Raw genomic sequence first — 20,287 nt, 5'->3', positions numbered from 1 at the left:
TTTTGAATGTCACATGGTGGAGGGCCAGTCGGACAGCAGAGAAGAGGGAAGGTGACCTGGCTTGCAGGGTTGCTCTGTGTCTTGCGGGACCTGCAGCTTTTCCAGCTTTTGCACTTAGACCAGAGCCCTGCAGGAGTGGCTTGGGCATGAGCTGTGCTAGCGTCAGGGAGAATCCACCTCTGTGTCCTTGCTTTCTTTAAAAGATGAATCTTTTAATCACTTTTATTAGGAGAAATAAAAACCAGCGATAAGAGAGCCCTGACATAAGGCTGCCGGTGCCAGGGATCACCTGGGTTCAGCACCTATGGAGAGGTTTATGGTTGCCGCTGCTGCACTGGGGCCTAACTGCCAAGGTCCAAAATGGTCCAAAATGTTTCTGTTAAATTGTTTTGGGTCTTTCTAGGTTTTAAGAAATATTTGTTTTACCTGCAAAAGAGCAGGATCTGTCTAGAGTCTGTACAGTAAACACAAGTGAAAATGTAATCCCATATCAATTAAGATGTATAGAAATACACCTAAAGCACTATGTATTTATTTCTTTTTACCCTACTTCTCTCAAAGTGGATCTGTGATGTCCATGTAAATGCAAAGTCTTGGAGTATCCAGCATATGTGAAAGGAGAAGTTAGAAAGGAAGTTGCTGGACTGTCTTGTCGTAAATTCCTCTTCTTGTTTTCACTGTGGACTCCTAGTAGAAACCCATGACCCAGATGTTCTCACTCCCTCCTCTGAGGTCACCTGTAATCTCCAACTCAAGGACTCTCCAAAAATCTGTGGATCAACTGCCTACATCTTAGGCCCTTGAAAACGTCTGGGCAACTGCGTCTCCTGACAGGATAGGCCAGTCTCCCCAGATGATCAGTGGGTGGCAGGAGGCTGCACAGTGAGGCCCCCCCTGCCCCCCGACCTGGCAGCCCACAGCTCAGGAAGAGTGCTCTGCAGGCTGCACAAACTTGGCTCTTGCACCAGGCAGCTGCGTGGATGACAGACCAAGAGCTATCTCTCCCAGGATAAGAAGCTGGATGCTGGGTGAAGCCAATTCATTTTTCTCCTCATCAGTCAGTGGAAACTCACTTCCACAGATTGATTTCCAAAGGAATAAATGATATCACCAGATGTCATCCTGTCAAGCAGCCCCCTTCAGAAAAAACTTTTCCTTGGTAATGGGGGAAATTTGACTTCAAGGAGGCAGTACACAGCTGTGTACAATGGGTTTCATCTTTTTACGTTACACACGCTCTACTGTGAGTTCTCAGTGGCTGCACTTCCCATCTCGCCTGCAGCTTTGCCACCATCACAACATAACTGATGCTTTACGAGGCCAATTTCATAGTGTCTGCTGGCACCTCTGCACTCCCTGAGCTACCAGTGACAGTTACGACAGGACCAGCTGGCTAAGCACCTGTGGCATCCAGGCATGATTCAGGCAGCCACACTGCCCGAGAGAAATGTATGGAAGTGAGACCTCGGATCACAGACTAGTTTCATCTCCCTAAATTAAGATAACTCCTTGCAAAACTAAGACAAAACAAAATGCCATCCACCAGCTAAAAGTTTCCATCAAAATTGGAATGAGTCTAAGTGCAGTTTTCACCTCAAAAATGACTTCCTTGTTATTTACAGTCCACAGATATGAACAGAAATGACCATTTCTATGAAAGAAGATTTTATGATAGGAAAGGACAAGGGAAGTAGGGCTGAGGCGCATCACGGTCGGGAGAAGGTCCTCATTCTGTTTACCATCACTGAGGACTGAGACGCGGGGCGAGCGGTGGGGAGGGAGGGCATGAATTCGCTCACACAGTCACCATGCCATTCATTGCTCACTCTACGATACTGATTTTTGGCTATAAATTGGCCACATTAGTGATTCCAAAACGAGGTAGAGTAAAAATGAACAGCACAATTCCCAACACAAAAGCAATTCCATTTTTAAAAAGCACAGAAAAATGATTTTCATCATTTCAAACACGGAAATCAGAACAAAAAAACATGGAAGGCAGTATCTATTCTCATGGGACATGACTGACAAGTGCATTTAAAGCTTGGTTCCAGCAGGAAGAGCTTACAGGCTTAGGCGCTGGAAGGAACCCAGCGGACCCCTGAGCTCATATTTTCTTCTAGATGTCAGTTAAGGAAATCAAGACAAACATAGGCTGAGTTTTCAAAGCCTCATTTCATTCTGGATTCTTTTGATTAAAATAGAAAGGCTCTTGTTTTGAAAATGCAGGGCAATCTAGGAAGAGGCACATAAAGTAGCCAATTACATGAACTCTGTCCATGTGGCTTTCAGACTTTAGAATCAATACTCTAATTGGTTATTCTTAAAAATGCTAGCAATAAAAAGCCCTCCAAATTCCTAATGTCTAATCCAATCTTGAAAGGGACAGATCTTTAGTAACATCATCAGAACCATATTTGTTATCTGCGAATTGCTGGAGATACGGTGCCGGTCCCACACCGCCCGCTGGCCCTGCCAGGAGCGGCTGACGCCGGGGCAGGCCGAGCTATCATTAGCCGGGCACAGGGATGATGTTCATCTGCCTGTCATGGTGCTCGGTGACATCTAATACTACGAGCTTGTTTTGATCTGGCGGAGAAGATATATGAAGTTGATTCCATAAAGCTATTTTGTTAAATAAAACAGCTTTCTTCAAAAACTGTCTTAACAATAATGTAATAAATATAGAAAAGAGGTCTAGGGAATGAAAATCAGAGTCATTTTATTTGCTGCATTTGTGGGGGTGGGTAAAATGTAAGAGGGTTGGGCTTTAAGCCTAGTTTTGATTGCAAGTGCCCTACACTATGAAATCACCAGGAAATTGGAGCCTGAATGTGGCCACTTAAGTGCAGGCCTCCAAGTGAGGCAGGGACTAATACCACTGATGCAAATCTTGCCAAAGTAATTAAGGCAAATGTTCAACCTGACAGGGAGCCACCCAGTCTCATCCTCTAGGGCACTCCTGGGCTTCTCAAATACATTGTAGGACTCAGCATCTAATTGAATTTTCAGACCAAATGCAAAAGGAAGGGAGGGCCGGTTTACAAAATTTCACTTGCCAATATTGTGCCGCAGAGCCTGTTTTCCTCCCCATTCTGTCCTGAGCAGAGCAGGAACCACAAGCAGCATGGAAGAACAGAGGTAGCCCGCATTAAACAGTTCTCTGAAAATTACAGCCTGCTATCCATTAAGCAGCTGTACAATCAAGTTAGTGGGCTGCAACCAGAATTTTTTTTTAAGGAGATAGAGTGGACTAGGAAATGCTAGGAGTAGATTAATCATTAATAAACCTTCATTAGAGCATGTATTATTTTGCCAAACTTTAGTTCTCTCTCTTTAGTTATCTCTCTCTCTTTCTCTCTCTCAGGGTGTGTGTGTGTGTGTGTGTGTGTGTGTGTGTGTGTGTGTGTGTTTACAGTGGGTCAGGGTTTGGATAAGTTGCTCTACGAGATGCCCTCTGCTTTGAAATCCTCTGAGTGTGAGTCTCCCCAGCTGCACACAGCTCCTCTGAGGCTGAAGTATCCTGCCAGCAACACAAGCCTGCCATTGTTTAAGTGCTACTCCTGGGCCCGGCTTGCCACTAGTCAGGACCAGATTTTAGAATGTAGTAGGGACTTGTATTGTCAATTAATGGAACTCTTTCCACCAATAGCTTCGACATGACATTTCTCAACTTATTCAACTCTCCCTGGCCTTACTCTCTGGAAGGTAACCAGGAAGCCTGTACTGTCGAAGGGAGGTGGGAGGGGTGTGGATAACTGCAGGCCCCACCCCCAACCCAACTGTGGCCTCCCCACACCCAGATGTGGCCCCCGCCACCAGCTATGGCTTCGCCTCTCATTCCCTGGCTGGTTACAAATCTTTGACTTACACATCTTTCACTGCATTAGGAACCACTATCACCAGAACCTTTCAAGATGGTAGTTTTCATCACTTTTTACCCCATAGTAGATAATTACAGATGAAAGACTGACTTATTTATCATATTTCATCATTGTAGCGCTTTTCCTGACATGACTGATCCTTTTCATTCAAAAGGCCCATTTTGCAAAGTTGAGGGCATCCTCTTTCAGAACGTGAAATTGTGCAAATCCAATACAAAACAAAACTAGAAATCGGGGTCTTTAAATTAGAAATTGGGGTGAAAATATTGTCACTATCACTTGCCAACTCAGCGATCTTGCACACTGGTACCTCTCAGGGACAGCTGAGAAGTCAGATGAGGTCAGGACAAAGTGCTAAACACAGTGCCTGACCCCCGGAGGAACATTGTATGTCTTGAAAAAGCAAAGTCACATTTAATAACAATCTCATATACAAAAGTATATTGTGTACATCATAAAATACCCAAATATAGGTTGGGTCCATCAACATCAGAATGCATTTTTCAGTTCTTCATGGTTAAAATGAGGATTTCTTCCACAAGTAGGAGTATTTCACTTTTTACTAGCCTCATTCCTGAAGCCAAGATGATTGTCTTTAGAAGAAAGATGTTTTTAAAATGATAAGATATATTTTGAATTTCCAAACAGTTAGTTACATATGGCTTTCTCAACAGACAAGCCTGGCCATTTTTTGGCATCTCAGGCTGTATGTCTGAGCTCTGATTTTCAATCAGGGTTTAGTACGGTATTTTTTAAGAGATTAGGTGAAACTTTCAGGTCATAAGATTTATGGTTTTAGTAAATCATGTGCTTTCTACCCTTTTAAATGCCTTCATGTTATGCTTTAACATCTATTTTGTTATTATATCTGAATCCTAAATAATATGGCCAAGTCAAGAAAATCTACACATAGGACCTTGAAGAAGATTCATGTGGCAGCAAAAGACCCAGGGTCTGGGAAGGGGCCCGAGGTCAGGGGCTTTTTGGCTGTGTGACCTTGGCTGGTGGCCTTTGTACTGCCAGCTTTTTCATCAGCACACAAGCGCTGTGTACCCTGGAGATCATTTGAAGTTCTTTAAAAAACAGAAAAAGGACCTGGTCATCAAAACTAAAAATGCACGTACAGCTCCTGAAAACATGAAGCACTTTGGGAAGCCGAGGTGGGTGGATCACGAGGTCAGGAGTTTGAGACCAACCTGACCAACATGGTGAAACCCTGTCTCTACTAAAACTATAAAAATTAGCTGGGCGTGGTGGCACGTGCCTGTAATCTCAGCTACTGAGGAGGCTGAGGCAGGAGAATCACTTGAACCCGGGAGGCAGAGCTTGCAGTGAGCCCAGATTATGCCACTGAACTCCAGCCTGGGCAACAGAGTGAGACTCCATCTCAAAATAAATAAATAAATAAATAAATAAATAAATAAATAAATAAATAAGTAGCATCACCTAGGCTCACATAGGTGAATTTGAACTGAATGAGTCCTTTGAGCAGCTTGTATTGACAGGAAAGAGGGCATCCTGCATAGCTGGTTAGAGGGAGGCCCCAAGAAGCAAATCCCGTGTGGTGGTCTCCAAGCCTGGCTGGAAAGAAACATGGGCTCCGGCAGGTTAGGGAAAGGTGAGAGGTGGGTCTGACTTTTGGATCATGTTTCAGACAAACCACAATGGAAAACACATTTTTGAGACAACTGGAGATGTGTCAGTAGGCTGGTTGTTGGGTAACATAAGAGATTTATGGCTAATTTTTAAGTTCGATGACAGCATTGTGATTATGTTTTAAAAATCATGCTTTTAGAGATTCATAACCATGAAACGGAGATAGTGTTGTGTGAAAGGATGGGATTTCTTGGATGAGACATGACTGGCCTTAAAATAGTTCAGAAATGGAAGGACAGATGTGGAAGAAAACAAACTTGATGATTTGGGGTTCTGGATATATATTAAAACTTATTCAAATAACTGAAAATTTAAAAATTCCTCCATTGAAAATCCTATTTGAATGGCACCCTCTGCCAGGCCTCCCTAGCAAGCCCTCCTTTGCGTGCACAGAGAAGTACGTATGAACAGTGCCCAGTGTACGGGCTGCAAAGCCCAGAACAAGCTAAATCCCCTTTTTAGTGACAGCCTCACAGAAGATGAGGGAGCCATTACATGCATAGGCTGACTTACACGTACTTCAGTTCAAAAAGCTCTCAAGCAAAGTAAAATTAAGTTAAAAAAAAGCAAGAGGCAAAACAATATGTATGAATGACATAAGCTCATATATACAAAAATATAAACAAAACCTAAATGATCGACCTTTATTTGTACATATATTTGTATGTATGTAAAATACACAGAAAAAATGCTGGAAGGATTCTTCCACAACTCTTGACAGTGGAGTGAAAGCATGGTTCTTGCTTTTTACCCTCTAATTTCCTGAAATCATTATACTTTTTACAAAGAGGAATATTTTTGCATGATGTACGTAAAATACAGCCAAATAAATAAGTAAGTAGAGACAAAAAATGATGGAGGGCGTGGGAGATGAGGCAGGGAGGCTGGATGGCCAGTCTCCAGAACTTGATGTTTTCATCGTCAAAGGGACAGGACTGAGTTGGATAACATTTTGGTTTCAATTGCGAAGGCCTTTCATTCCAGAAAGAAAACAGTGTCAGCATTACAGCCATGGGTTGACACATGGTTAAGGTCCCATTAGCAGCACGATGGAAGCTCCCCTGATAATCACAGGGAAAGCCAAATGACGGGAAAGGTCGCATGCCCAGAGGAACTCCCCTGTAATTTGTATTGTAATGAATTATTACCTTAACACAAGCATGTGCCAGGCATCTAATTTGCAAGTGCGGATGCCTGGCAGTTGACTTTAAAATCACTCTGGAATTATCCCTGTATAATCTGAACAACCAGAAGTGTGACCAGGGCTTTACCAAAAGGGAGTTGCACAAAAGGGTAAACTGCAGACTGGGAAGTTCCATGAACATGGAGGTACTGGACGCACCACGCTCTTTTTCAGGAAGAAGTCCTACACACATTTTCTGCGTCTGTTTTATAGACTGGACTGTGCACTCTTTCATGGGGCTCTTTGTGCGAAGGGGGCCTCCCCCATCCGCTCCTACCTTCAGCGTAGGGCCAAGTCCAAGTGGAATACAGCCTCTGAAAACATGGCTGCTTCTCACACTCCTGGGAGCCAGACCACTGCTCCTTTCCATGTACCTCAGGCTTTGTGGGGGCTTTTTATTCAGGTGGGAGAGAAATGGGCACTGGGGCAGGTGTGGTAGATGCCAAAGAAGTGAGAATGTGTGTGTGTGTGTGTGTGTGTGTTTATACCCTGAATTATATCAGAATGGAAGAAAGGAAATAGTATGTCCATCTGTTATCTCCTCTGTGGGCCTACCTCAATTAGCCACCAACACACATACACACCTGTGCTGCCTTTGATGAAGGAATTAAGAAGGCCCAAAGTGACTCATGTCACTTCCTTTCTGTGGCCTGCAACTCCAAAAGGAGAAGAGGAGAGGACGAGGGAGGGTGGGAAGGCCATTGCTCCTGGTTCCGGGGTGCCTCTCCCCTTGCCTGCTCAGGTTCCTGTAGGCCTCAGCTGTTGGTCAGTCCTTTCCACATCTTCGAGGAGACTCTGCCTGACAGGGCTGGCTAGAAGCTGGGTGCCTGGGTGTTCATGCTCTAATAAACCCAATCGGGAAGTTTCCAACTCATCACAACATCACAAAGAATGTGCAAGAAAATGCCGACTCTCTTATTTCTCCTTCAAAGTTTGATTAATGATTCTAGGAGGAACCAGAAATCCTTGGTGCCAATCAAACACATTTTGCCATACCTTTTAAACATTTTACACACAACCCATGTTTCATGAAAGCATGGCTCTTATCCCTTCGGGTGCATAGAATAAGACTGCCGGATAGAATGTTTCTGAGACCTGCTCTCTAATATTCTAACTCAGTAGGCCCTACGCAGGGCCTGAGAATGTGCATTTTCAGTAAGTGCCACTGCTGATGTTGATCAGTTCTCTAAGAAATTCTGGGTTAGCTATGGGATTATAAGCATATCCTCAGAGTACAGGTTTTTTTTTTTTTGTTTTTTTTTTAACAATTGAGAAACTACTTAAAGTGAACCTAAAATGGTGTGAGCCTGAAGTGCTTGCTGGGCAGCAGACAAGCTTTGCCAGCCTTGTGTTCTCAGTGGAAATGCAGCATCCGAGCCATCCTCTCTTCCCCCCGCTTGTGGTCAGCTCTAAATAGCACACTCACAGCGCGGGGGGAAAATATTTTTCCCTGTTTCAAGTGGGCAGTGGAAGTAGTGAAAGCCTAAGTAAACTCTGACCAGTAGATAATGGGCCATTATAACTCTGGATGACTTCCTGAATGACCCTGAAAAATGACTTCTCATTTCCTGCCTGCAGAAAAGAGAAATATTAAGATAGTGTTGTGTGCAAAAAAATGCAAGCTTGCAATGAGAGATGCAGAGCGTGAGGGAGAGAGGCACGAGGGGGTGGAGAAAAAAGACAGAGAATTTGAGGTTGACTCACGGCTTTGAAGGGAAAACAAGAAGAGGAAGAAAGTCTGTTCTCCCATGGGTCGTCAAACCCCACACTTCACACATCTTTCCCATGGGGCTGCCAGCTGCCGCCACATCACAGCTGTGCTGCCACCCAAGTGTGCCGCCTCCACAGCGGGAGCGACCTAAGCGTGGCCACCTCTGCCTCTGGAGGGCCTGCCTGCTGGCCAGCGGTGGCCGCCCCAGACCCGGGTGACTGGGCAGCACAGTAGCCCGCCTGGGCAGGGCATGAAATTAACGAGGCAAAAGAAGCCACAGAGAGATGAAAGCATAGAAGAAAAAAAGTCACCCTGCAGCTCAAATTAAAACAGAAAACTCTGCTGCTATACTTGGTCTTATTCCAAGAAGCTGCCAGGAAAGAATTGACTCACAGAAAAGCCACAGCTTCATTTTTTCCCATACTCAAGTGATATGTCTTTCCAGGGCTTTTTTCTTCAAAGGGAAAGGGAGCAAAATAACCTCACTTTTCTGCATTACCATAGACTATCTTATATAATTTTTTTACAGCCTGTAATGGCTGGTTGAGATACCAGCTGACAGTGTAGTGGATGAAGGCTCCGGGGTGCAAGCCCCTGGCTGTCCTGGCCAGCTCTTTAACTCGAGCAAATTACTTACTCTCTCTGAGCTTCCCTTTCCTCGGCAGTAACATGGAGGTATTGAGCAGAGAAATTGTGAGGCACTGTAGACACGAGATAATTCACAAAAATTGCACGGCACGGGACCTGGCACATAGTCAGCACTTCACAAACAGTGGCTCTCATAAGGTAGTTAATAGTGGTTTCAAACTATGTGTCAAATCTAAGGGAGGAAGAGGGGCTTCTAGGGGGTGGGGATGGGAGGGAATGTTCCAGTACAAATCTTGGTATTGTCAAACTTGGGGCAGCATGCTCAGGAGACAAAACACGGAGGCACATCTGCACAAGCTCAAATTCTACTTCTGCCACTGCATCAGTTGGGCCACTGTGGCTCCTCATTTCCTTATTTTTAAAAGAGCTGATGTGAGAACGAGCTGATTTAATGTGTAAAATACCTAGTGCCAGCAGACAGAAGGTACCCGCTACACACCAGCTCTGTACTCTGCCTTGATCCTTCGCAATTTTCGTTAGCAGAATTCCACCACGCACTACTGACTTTATGGTATGGCTAAAACCAGAATTCTAAATGTTCAAGGATTCTTGTGCAGTTACTTCAGCAGGAGTTTTCAGAAAGTGGGAGAAATACTATTTATGAAGCACCACCCATGTGCTTTAGTCTTTCTACATTGTTAGGTTTTCATGATAATACTTTAGAGATAAGAACACTCCTCATCTCATGGACAACGGAACGGGCTCTACAAGAGGGCGTGCACAGTGGACCTGGGGTCTGACGCCCACCCTGCTCTCTGCACCTGGAGCCCACCAGCATCCTGCTCCCCATGCTGCCTCCCCTGGAAAAAGAGACACATGCAAATGATGAAGCATGCAGGAGCCACATGGAGGTTTTATAAACTTAAAAGGATTTACATGAATGCCTCAGAGAAGGGGCAACCCAATGTCAACTCTGATACCCCAGGCATGATACCACTGACAATGTGTCTGCTGGCATCAGTTGGAAAACAATGCAAATATCCTTCATGTGATTAAACACAACATGCCTGTGACATTGTTTTTTTTTCTAGCCAGGCTGACTGTTGTCCTGTAGGCTTCCAAAGGCTGCTGGTGCCCTGACCTTCAGCTCCTAAATTACCATCTGAAGGACAAGGACTGGGGAAGGGAAGGAGAATTTGCATTTGAGCGTACCATTCCGTAGGTCATTCCAGAGAAACTGTGCCTTCCTCCCGGTTGACTCTCCGCTCACTGAGTGTGACAATATGCCTGACTATGGAAGATCACGGATGGGGCTGTACTGCCCTGCTACCGAGAACCTGGACAGAAGACAGCAGGTGAGCCCTGGAGGCTGGAATGAATGGCTAAGAGCATCTCAGGACTCCACTTCTCTGAAGGCAAAATCCAATATGCCAAATTCCTCTTCCTAATAAAAGCCCTTTAAATATTTGAAGACAGCTATTATAACTCCTCTTAGTTTTCTCCCAGATAAATATCCACATTTGCCTTCATCCGTCACTTGACTTTTCTCAAGTGTCTTCCCCATCCTCTGACCATTCCAGTTTGTAAACATTCCTCCCAAGTGTAGCCTTGTAACTGAACTCTTCTAATCAACAGAAGCTTGTCCAGCTTTATTATATCTCTTAATGCAACTTGACCCAAATGCATGATAAATATCAGTCCCATGGTTAGGTTATATGGCAAAGTTGAAGTTGTGCAGATGTAATTAACATCCCAAATCAGCTGGTTTTGATTTAATACAAAATGAAGTTATCCTGAGTGGGCCTGACTTAACCAGGTAAAAGCCATGAAGAATGGACTGAGCCCTCCTGGAGGCACATGCTTTCCCACTGGGCCTGGAGAAGCAGGCGGCCATGCTAAGAACTGCTTATGGAGAGGGTGGCCTCTAGGAGCCAGGACCTCAGTCCTACAGCCTCAAGAAACTGAATTCTGCCAAGAACCCTTATGAGCCTGGAAGAGGACCTGGAGCTCCAGATGAAAACATACTTTGTGAGTCCCTGAGAACCCAGACCCTGACCCACAGAAACAGAGATAAGAAGTGTGTGTTGTTTTAAGCTATGACATTTGTGGTTTTGTGTGCCAACCTCATAACTTGGGCTTACATCTCATCATGGTAAGCCAATCTCTATCTTTCATAGGGGCATTTGTTAAACCACCTTTCTTCCACTCAGGATATTTGTTACTGATTTGGCCTTGACCCTGTTATTAATAAATTCCCTGATTTTGTTCCATTCATTTGGGTCTGTATTTTAGGATCCCAATCTTGCTAACCTATATGTTCTAATCCCTTCCTCTTGATTTCTTGTATTCCAAAAACCTGAGGCACTCATTTAAACTGGCCAATCATTCCCAGGATGTTACTTCTTGACTCATCAAAGTAATCAACAGAGACAATGGGTTTCATTTTACCAAAAACTTCCAGTATATTTAAACATTAATGCATGTCTGCATTATATTAGTTCACATATTTTTAAAACACAAATTCGACTAATAAGTAGCCATTTTTTTTCAGGAAGAAAAAGATTCGCTTTCTTCAGTAGATGCAGCAAAGATCTCCCCTTGGCCTGAAAATAATTTAAAACCATGATATTAATTGTACACACATGCGCACAGTGTGCCTCGCCATGTGCCTGTTTTGGTTATACTGCAGACAGGCTTTCATGCCCTTCTAAGAGTGACCAACCATGTGTTTTCTCATAAGACATTCACCAAAGATGACATTCAGCAGAGAGGTCTAGACCACTGACGTCAGGCGTCTGTTACAGTCCTGGATGAGGGAGGCCACAGTGGAGTGAGTCAAGAAGAAAATCCCAGGGAAACCCTTTACTGGAGTTCAAGGCTGAGTTATTGTCTAAAGAATACCAAGGAAGTGAACATGATGATTGAAATACATTCTGGAGATCATATGCTTCAGGCTGTCAGCGATGCTGGTGACATTGCCATGGTTAATGCTACTAAATAAAGTCAACGTCTCCAAGAACGAGTGCATAAATTACTATGTGTCATCAGTTGGATTGTTCAATAAGGTATGTTCAAGTCCTAACCTCCAGCACTTGTGAAGTAACCTTATTTGAGAATGGGGTTTTTGAAGATGTAATGGAGTTGAAATGAGGTCTTACTGGTATAGAGTGGGCCCTGATTCAGTGATGGGTGTCCTCATAAGGAGATGGAAACACAGACACACAGAGAGGAATGTGAAGGCACAGAGACAGACATGCAGGAGAACTCACTGTGAGGATAGAGGTGGAGATCGGAGTTTTGCATCTACAAGGCAAGGAATGCCAAGGGCTGCTGGGAACACCAGAGGCTGGGGAGAGGCCAGGGGCATCATCCTCAGCAGGTTTCAGAGAGAGAGACTCTACTGACACCTTGATTTTGGACTTCTGGCTTCCAGAGCTGTAAGCAAATAAATCTGCAGCTTCTTAAGCCATGGCAAGGATGGTGATCTGTTAGAGCAGCCCTGGGGAAGCCACACACTACGGCTGCCCTGCACGAGATGTCTCAGGAGGGTCTCAGATGAGGCTGCTGCCCGGAGCCACAGGGACGAGTGGTCTATTGTATGTCTACACTGGAGCGAAAATGAACCATGAAATGAAAAAAATGAAAACCCTGGGTAATAATCCTTATGAGACAGGAAGAAACAAGAAACAATCATAGTAAGATGCTGTCCTGCTTTCTCCCTTGGGTGGTTTTGTGTCTAGGCAATCTCCTTTTTAGCCTTGGATGCCACCCACTGAGTTTAAATACAACTATTGCTGTGAGTCTCCAAAAGGCTATAAAGTCACAGGTAGGAGACAAGGGAAACAAACAAGCCAAAACACCAAAGCTGCTTATGAAGAAAATGTGGGCAGGGGTGGGGTACAGAGGGGAGGAAAGGAAAGGGAGGGGCATGTAGGATTGTGCATCCTTTACAAGTAGGAGGTGTTCAAGGACTACCTTTTTTCTCTTTGAGGTATCAGGAATGACCCAAGTTCCTTCACATATCTGACACTCTAACAGCTTTCTCATCCTGATATCACTTGGTAAGATCAAATAACTTTGGTTTGATCACTGATCCACTAATGTCCCCAGTTACCTACTTTGTACAGTGAGAGGAAGGCCCTAGATTGGGATTTCAAACTGTGGGACACCACCCAGCCTGCATTGTGAAATCACTGGAGTGGGTCACAACCAGCATAACAAGGAACAAAAAGAAAAATAAACAGAAAAGAATAGACAATATCAGAGTGATATCGTAAAGGCAGTATTATGAAAGTTTAGATACAGCTGTATGTGTGCCATGATATTAAAATGTATTTCTTACTTTGGTAAGGTCAAAAATGTTTGAAAGCCACTGAAATAGATGTTATCTGGGAAACTTTCCTGTGCTGCTTTTTGTGAGCCTATGATTAGCTCCAGAATTCCTTACAGAGTAAATTAGAACACACTGACAGCACGTTTTGGAGAGAGAAAAAAGCTTGCAAATAAAAAAAAAAAAACCAGTCTAAAACAATCTCTTCCTGTCACAGACACTGATGAATTGTGCAGTGATGGCCCCTCCTCGCCCAGGGTTAGTGGGTGATTTGGTAATAGCCTGCTTGTCCTGGGAGCACGGAAGGATGGTTTTGCTTTAGCTATGGAGAGACCGAGGGGCAGAATTCAGGGGCTGCTCTCACCTCTGCACGATGGCAGGTGGCTGAGGACAGGTCAGCTCAGGCATCTCAGGCTCTCGCTCACAGACACCACACTTTACCACCTGGCCTTTGTCGGGAGTCTGCAACACTCATTGCGAAGAAGAAAGCCAGGTCCAGTCTAAACAAGACTCCTTCGTGGCAGCAGTGTGAACAGTCTAGGAAAAGATGCAGTTACCCTGCTCAGCACAGCCCCCTCCAACCGTCCACAGAATAGAGTATCTCCGTTACGGTGTGTGGCCCTGGCCCAGACTGTACCAAACAATACAGTTCCTTCTGCCGCCAAAAGTCCATGATTGATAATTGCCCTGTTAATCATTTCCATTCTGATCTGCAAGGAACCCTGCCAAAAGTATGTTTCAAAATGCTTTCTGTTCAAATTAAATTGCTGTTGTTTTACATGAGGAAAAATACTACCTGGGAAAATGTTTGACAAAAATGTGGCAATTAAGTGCACTTTTGAAGCACTTAAAATCCAGGATTGAGCTTTCAATCTTTGATGTGCACCTTTTGCAGGGCATTTCTAAGTAGTATAGTGGCCAAAAGGAAGCTTTATCATCCTGACTGGCACCCATACGTCCTGATAAATGGCTAGTGTCACTAGATCACCCCTGGGTCCTAGTTGTACAGGGAGGGCTATCCCACACCTGTCCCCACCACATCCACGACAAGTGAATAACATTTATTTTATCTTATTTTTAAATTTACATAAAGAGACAGTATATATTTATGGTATACAACATGATGTTTTGATATATGTATCCATTGTGGAATGGCTACATCAAGCTAATTAATGACTGTATTACTGCACATACCTTTTTTTGGTGTGGTGAGAACACTTAAAATCTACTCTCTTAGCAATTTTCATGTATACAATACATTGTCACTAACTACAGTTACCATGATGTGCAATAGATCTCTTTAACTTATTCCTCCTGTCTAACTGAGATTCTATGTCCTTTCACCAAATCTCCCCAAGCTCACACCTTCCCAGCCCCTGGTAACCACCATTCCACTCTCTGCTTCTCTGAATACAATTTTTTAGATTCCATGAAGGAGTGAGATCATGCAATGTTTTTCTTTTGGTGCCTGGCTTATTTCACTTAACATAATGTCCTCCAGGTATGCAAATGACAGGATTTCCTTCTTTTTTTTTTTTTAAGACTGAATAGTATTCCATTGTGTATGTATACCACAAGCAGTGACTGGCAGTTACTAAAAACAAAACAAAAAGAAACAAAAGCTCCTGATTATTATAACTATTAAGTCTTGACATTGGCTATCATGTTTTCAACAAATGGTGCCAGAGCCACTGAACATCACAGGCAAAAAAAGAACCTTGACCTCAACTCTTGTGCAAAAACTAACTCAAAATGGGCCACAGATTTACATCTAAACAAAATACTATGAAACTTGTTGAAGATGACCTAAGGGAAAACCACAGGACATACTTTGGTGCAGACTTCTCAAACCTGACACAAAAAGTATGATCCATAAAATAAAAAAATTAAAAATATATTAGACTTCAAAATTTAAAACTTTTATTCAGCAAAAGAGCCTGGTAAGAGGTTGGAAAGATAAGTTATGGACTGAGAGTAAATATTTGCAAACCACAGATCTTTCAAAGGCGTCATATTGAGAATATAAGGAATGCTCAGCACATACAAATGCCCCTCCTGGCAAGAGCCTACGTGTGTTCAGCTCTGCTGCAGACACCTGGAGTGGCGGGACCCTGGATTTTCACGGACTACTGGGCTTGTTTCCTTCCTTTCTGTCCTCAGGTCTTAAGGTTCCGTGGGAATGATGAGAGCTATGAAGCCAGCAGGCCCGGGCCTAGGGTGGGGCACGTTCTTGGGCCCAAAACTTAAGACGGCAGCAAAGGACCCTGTCTTCACGATAAACCGTGCAGTATTTTGAAAACGAACAAACAAACAAACAAAAAAACGCCATAAAATCCATGCTGAACAAAATCTCAAAATGTAAATGCAGACAAGACCCAGTGCGTGCCTGTCTCAACCATCACTCCAGTCCTGGCCCTGGAAGGAAAAAAATTCAAAGAACACGTATTTGGGAGAAACAAAGTAAAATGTGCAATCCTAACACAGTCCATTTCTTTTTGTAAGTGCTTCTCACCACACCTTCAGCACGCACAGAGCAGGCCGCAGCTCCTGCATCTTCAGCAGCACGCCGACCCGCCCCTCTTCCCCGCTGCACAGGCCACCTACTCTGAGTGTGCATGCCTGGCTCTGGGCGGAGCACCTGCTCCAGCTCTGCAGGCCGCCCACACCCCGTGCCTGGCCTCTCCTCTTCTGACCTTTCCTTCCCCATCTCGAGTCCCCTGGTGGTAAGTTTTCCCGCCCCCGCCCAGCCTTAGCGGGGCTTTCCCTCCAGCCTCAGCCCATGCCTGCCTCATTCCAGGGCCTCGCAGCTCGAGCCCCTCCTGGCTCCTGAAGGCTGTCCCTGCTGCCTGCCCGGCCCACGGGAGAGGAATGGACGAGAACTCCCTGAACTTACGTTCTCTTTTCCCTTCTGAAGCCAAACGGAATAGAAGTACCCGCCTGCTCCCTGGGGTGGGGAAAGAGGTCTGGAGGGCCCCGGGCACCGGGAGTCTCCACCCCAGACGCGTGCCTGGCCGGAGACAGGGGAGTGGGGGCTGCATGGGGAGTGGAGAACCTGAACTTTCTGTCTCAGCAACGCCACTCCACTGCTCCATGGAGAAAGTGGACGCTCTGGGGACATGCACAGGATCCGCGGGCTGCCCAAACCATCTCAGGATGTCCCCTCTCTGTCCTCCTGAGCACAGCCACAGACCGTGGAGTCACCACAGCGTCCACTCTCTCACCAAAGCGACTGGGCCCTGCACGTGGGATCTGCATGGGCAGTAACTCGATCCCACAGATGATCAGTGGTGGTGCCCGTGTGGCCCCCACCCTGACAAGTGCACGTGGACATTTTCCTGCACGTGCGGAAGGACGCAGGTCAGTCTGGGCAGCAGTTCCCCACGGGGGACCAGCTCAGAGGGAAGGAGGAGGACGCACATAAACCCTATGCACCGAGGCATCCCAGGGTTGGTGCAGCTAGCACACATGCTTTAGGAGTGACAAACACGAAGTGAAAAATAGTGTCTCTACGTGGCGTGGTACCCTGGGGATGGGGCTGGAGCCTCAAGATACGGCTGCGTCGAGGCGGCTTCCTGGCACCGCTCTGGGCTGTGGCGGTGGGGTGGGGTGGGGGGTGTCCCAGGACAGTGAGGACGCGGGACGCGGGGCTTGGGGTGTGTGCGGGGCCCAGGGCCTGTCCCATGGACAGGGTGGTCCTCATCCCCTCCCTGCCGCCTTGCTCCTTCTCCCCTCCCCACACGCCACACACCCAAATACCCCAGGACAGGAACACGGCACGGTGGACAGGAGCAAACCCTGCACAGTGCCCAGAAGGTCTGCAGGAGCTTCTTCTTCCCTTTGACTCGCGCACGTTATTCTAAACTGTTCCTGGGCGTACCTTACCCCAAGAGGGCCAGCCACTGCCTCCCCCTCCACACCCACGGCGTCACCGGTCCCTGCAGATAGCGTCTCCCTGGTGCAGCATTACACCCTTGCAAAGCTCCGCTCGCCAAACAAAGCTGCGCTGACGGCCTCCAGTTCCTGCTCAGGGTTCAATGTCCAGCTCTTCGGAGCTGCCTCTGTTTAAAAGAAAAGACGGGCCTGCATCTGGAAACTACCTCTCCCAGGTTTCTTTTTTAAGAGCATTTAACCCATTTTTTCCCCAAGCACCAAAGAGTTTCTGCAGCCCCATAGAAGCCTCCCGCTCTTCCATGAGAGCCTGGAGTTCTTGCACCGCCTGTTTCCTAGTTCTCTAGCAGTCTTGGTCTTTCGGTGCAAGCAGCTGCCCTACCCTGAGTTACCCTGGCTTAGTTCCACTTGGAAGTAAACATTTCTGTCATTTAATTATATCATAATCATGCTGGAAGGAATTAGACCAGCAAGTGTGAGGCAGGGTGTGCAAAAGGGCACACAACACACACACACTTTTCACTGTCAGAGAAAAAAAGGAGGACACATTTTTACTTCCAATGTAAAATGACAAGATCAAGATCAGAAAATTTAGTGATGAAATTGTACTATGATTTATATTGCGCTGAATTTTATTCACTATTTTAGCCACACAGGAAGATAATTTCACAGCCTTAAGATGATATTTTTTGCTGAAATTTTATTTAATTATTATCAAGGAATTTTTCTGTGTGCTTGAGGCCCTGTGCTAGGCACACTGATGTCTCAGTTTAAAAATACCACACCCAGCAAAGAATAGTAGTCAATAAAACTGCCATATTTTCTGCTAGGCTTACAAAGGATGAAGATCTGACCGAAATACCATCTTTGGAATCTTTGGGGTCTAAATAATAATCTGTAATTGACCTCATGAAGACATTGAATGATTTACCAACTCATCCATTAGTACATGGTGTTCAATAGTTGTACTCACATATTGGGATTGACATGGATTTTTGTATGGCTTACATTCTGCCTTTGTGTATCTTATGACTGTAGTGAACTCAGTTTTCTAATGTCCAAGCAGAGGATGGCTTAGGTCTTTGGCTGCTAGTCAATTTCCCTCATTCCCTAACTGTTTTATTTGTCATATATTTATTGATAGCCTACATGACAACAGCTAATGATGGAGTGGCAGGCATTATGAAAATAGATAAGCGGGTGGTCAGAGCTCTGATGGAAATTATGTTGTAGTATATATATTCTGACATACGAAGAACTCTTCAGGAGTGAATGAACCATGTGCTCTACTAATGAAGTTCAAAGGGAAAGAAACTACAGTATTCCTCAGTGGGGGTGGGTGCCATGCACAATAAGTAGGTTTCATTGCAATGAGCATTGAAAATCACCTAGATGATAATAGGCGAAGGGGTGTGAGTATGTTGTTTTGTTTGCTTGGCTACTTTTGGTTGGTGTGTATGTGTAAAAATAGGCCTATCAGATGATGGAATAAAAAGAGGAATCTTTTTCTGGACATTAGTTGTGTTTCTAAGTCTAGGCCACAGAGTGTCCTAAAAATTGTAATCATTAAAGTTAATATGCCTAACAGTGCTTATCAGGATTTTTTTTCCAACCAATGAAACTAGATTTTACTGGTGCCCTTGAGTCTTGATAATAAAACTCAAGGACATCAGTCTTGTATTTGCCTGCATTTCCCATTAGATTGAAGGAAGTTACAAGGCTTTCTTGGGTTTTAAGAATATTTGACATGCGTTACCATTTCTGTTGATTTATTCATTTGTACTGAGAATCATATTTTAATTCAGAATTTCAGCAAGGTGTAGGCTTGAAAAATAAAGCCCTCATGCAGCTTGGATTTCGTATTAATACATCTCAAGCTTGTACAACACTACTAACAGAATGTTATAATAAACCATACCAGTATCCCAAAGAGATGCTTTAATACCAAATGTCTCATTTATAACAAATTACTAATGGACAATTGCTAGGCTGGACAAGTGAACAAGGACAATTAATTGAGGTAAACAGGCTTGGACATTTCCAGTTGAATGGAAATTTCCACGCGATGTGCTTGCTTGTCTCTTTGTAAAGAACTGTTGTGCAGAGTTCCACTATTGCACCCCCACCCCTTGAAAGCCAGCCCATCTAATTTAATGCTCTTTTTAGCTCAGCAAATTCTGATTTGGAGAGTTGATGTGCATGGATTTTTGTGCAATCTTATTTACAAATCAACTGAAAAAAAAATAAAGAGTTCCAATCCCAGAGTACACTGTGTAGCTCTGAGCGTGCCAGAGAAGGCAGCTGTGGTGCACTTGTGATGGCCTCTGAGGGCTCTGGGTGCTGTCCTCACTACGGTGGTAGGTTCTGCTGCCTGAGTGTATCCATTACAGGAACTCGAGCTTTGGGTGGCCCATTATAACCCAGCTCAAGAGGATGTGTCTCCAAGTTTCAGGAGGAACATAGCTGTACATCAGCTGCAATGTTCCTGTGACCTAATCTAGGGGGAAATTCAGATTGGTAAATTTGTTCCAAAACACATTGTTGCATTGTTGTGGTAGTGGTTGCTAAGTCCATTCCCCAGTGAATATATTCTGAAATTAGATATAAACTATCTATATTATAAAAGCCCTAAAACAGGAAATTCTGTCATGTTGGTCACAGCTCAATTAATAAAATGACCTCCATACAAAGAAGGGTTCAGAGTGAATGAAAAGTGGCCACCGGTGTGGAGGAAGCTGGAGGCCTTCACAGATAAGTTAGGCCCAAACTGTCCTAGGTAGTATCCTCTGGTTGGTGGAATTCTTTGAAACATTTTTTTTTTTTTTTTTAGCTCCTGCTTCAACTTTAATTTGCTCTGCCCTTTAGAAGAATGCAGGCTGCAACCGTGGCCCCTGCCCTGGCCCTGGCTGCCCACTGATGGTCTGGGCTACCTACACACCCTTTGGCCTTCTATTCAGTTACTTACAAATGCTCTTTAAAAGTCTTAAGAAGATGACAAAGTGATTTTACTGGTATTGTGAGTTATTTTAGTTGCTCTTATACTGATT

At 44.6% G+C, this 20,287-nt stretch overlaps 1 protein-coding gene across 9 annotated transcripts in view; it reads right to left on the bottom strand.

Moving 5' to 3' along the window:
• The window catches only part of EGFR (epidermal growth factor receptor), a 192,612-nt gene that overhangs the window by 116,369 nt on the left and 55,956 nt on the right, over positions 1-20,287 (bottom strand). The window contains exon 1 of one of the 9 annotated variants that reach the window (XM_047419953.1): positions 13,717-14,791. The exons of the other annotated variants lie outside the window; for them this stretch is intronic. The gene's annotated coding sequence lies outside the window, so the exon portion shown is untranslated. Of the gene's footprint in view, positions 1-13,716; positions 14,792-20,287 lie in introns of those variants that run through there. 9 annotated transcript variants of the gene reach the window in all.

Source organism: Homo sapiens, chromosome 7 (genome assembly GCF_000001405.40).
Source record: "Homo sapiens chromosome 7, GRCh38.p14 Primary Assembly".
In the NCBI taxonomy this organism is placed as follows: domain Eukaryota; kingdom Metazoa; phylum Chordata; class Mammalia; order Primates; family Hominidae; genus Homo; species Homo sapiens.
This window is presented reverse-complemented; position numbering and strand designations above follow the sequence as displayed.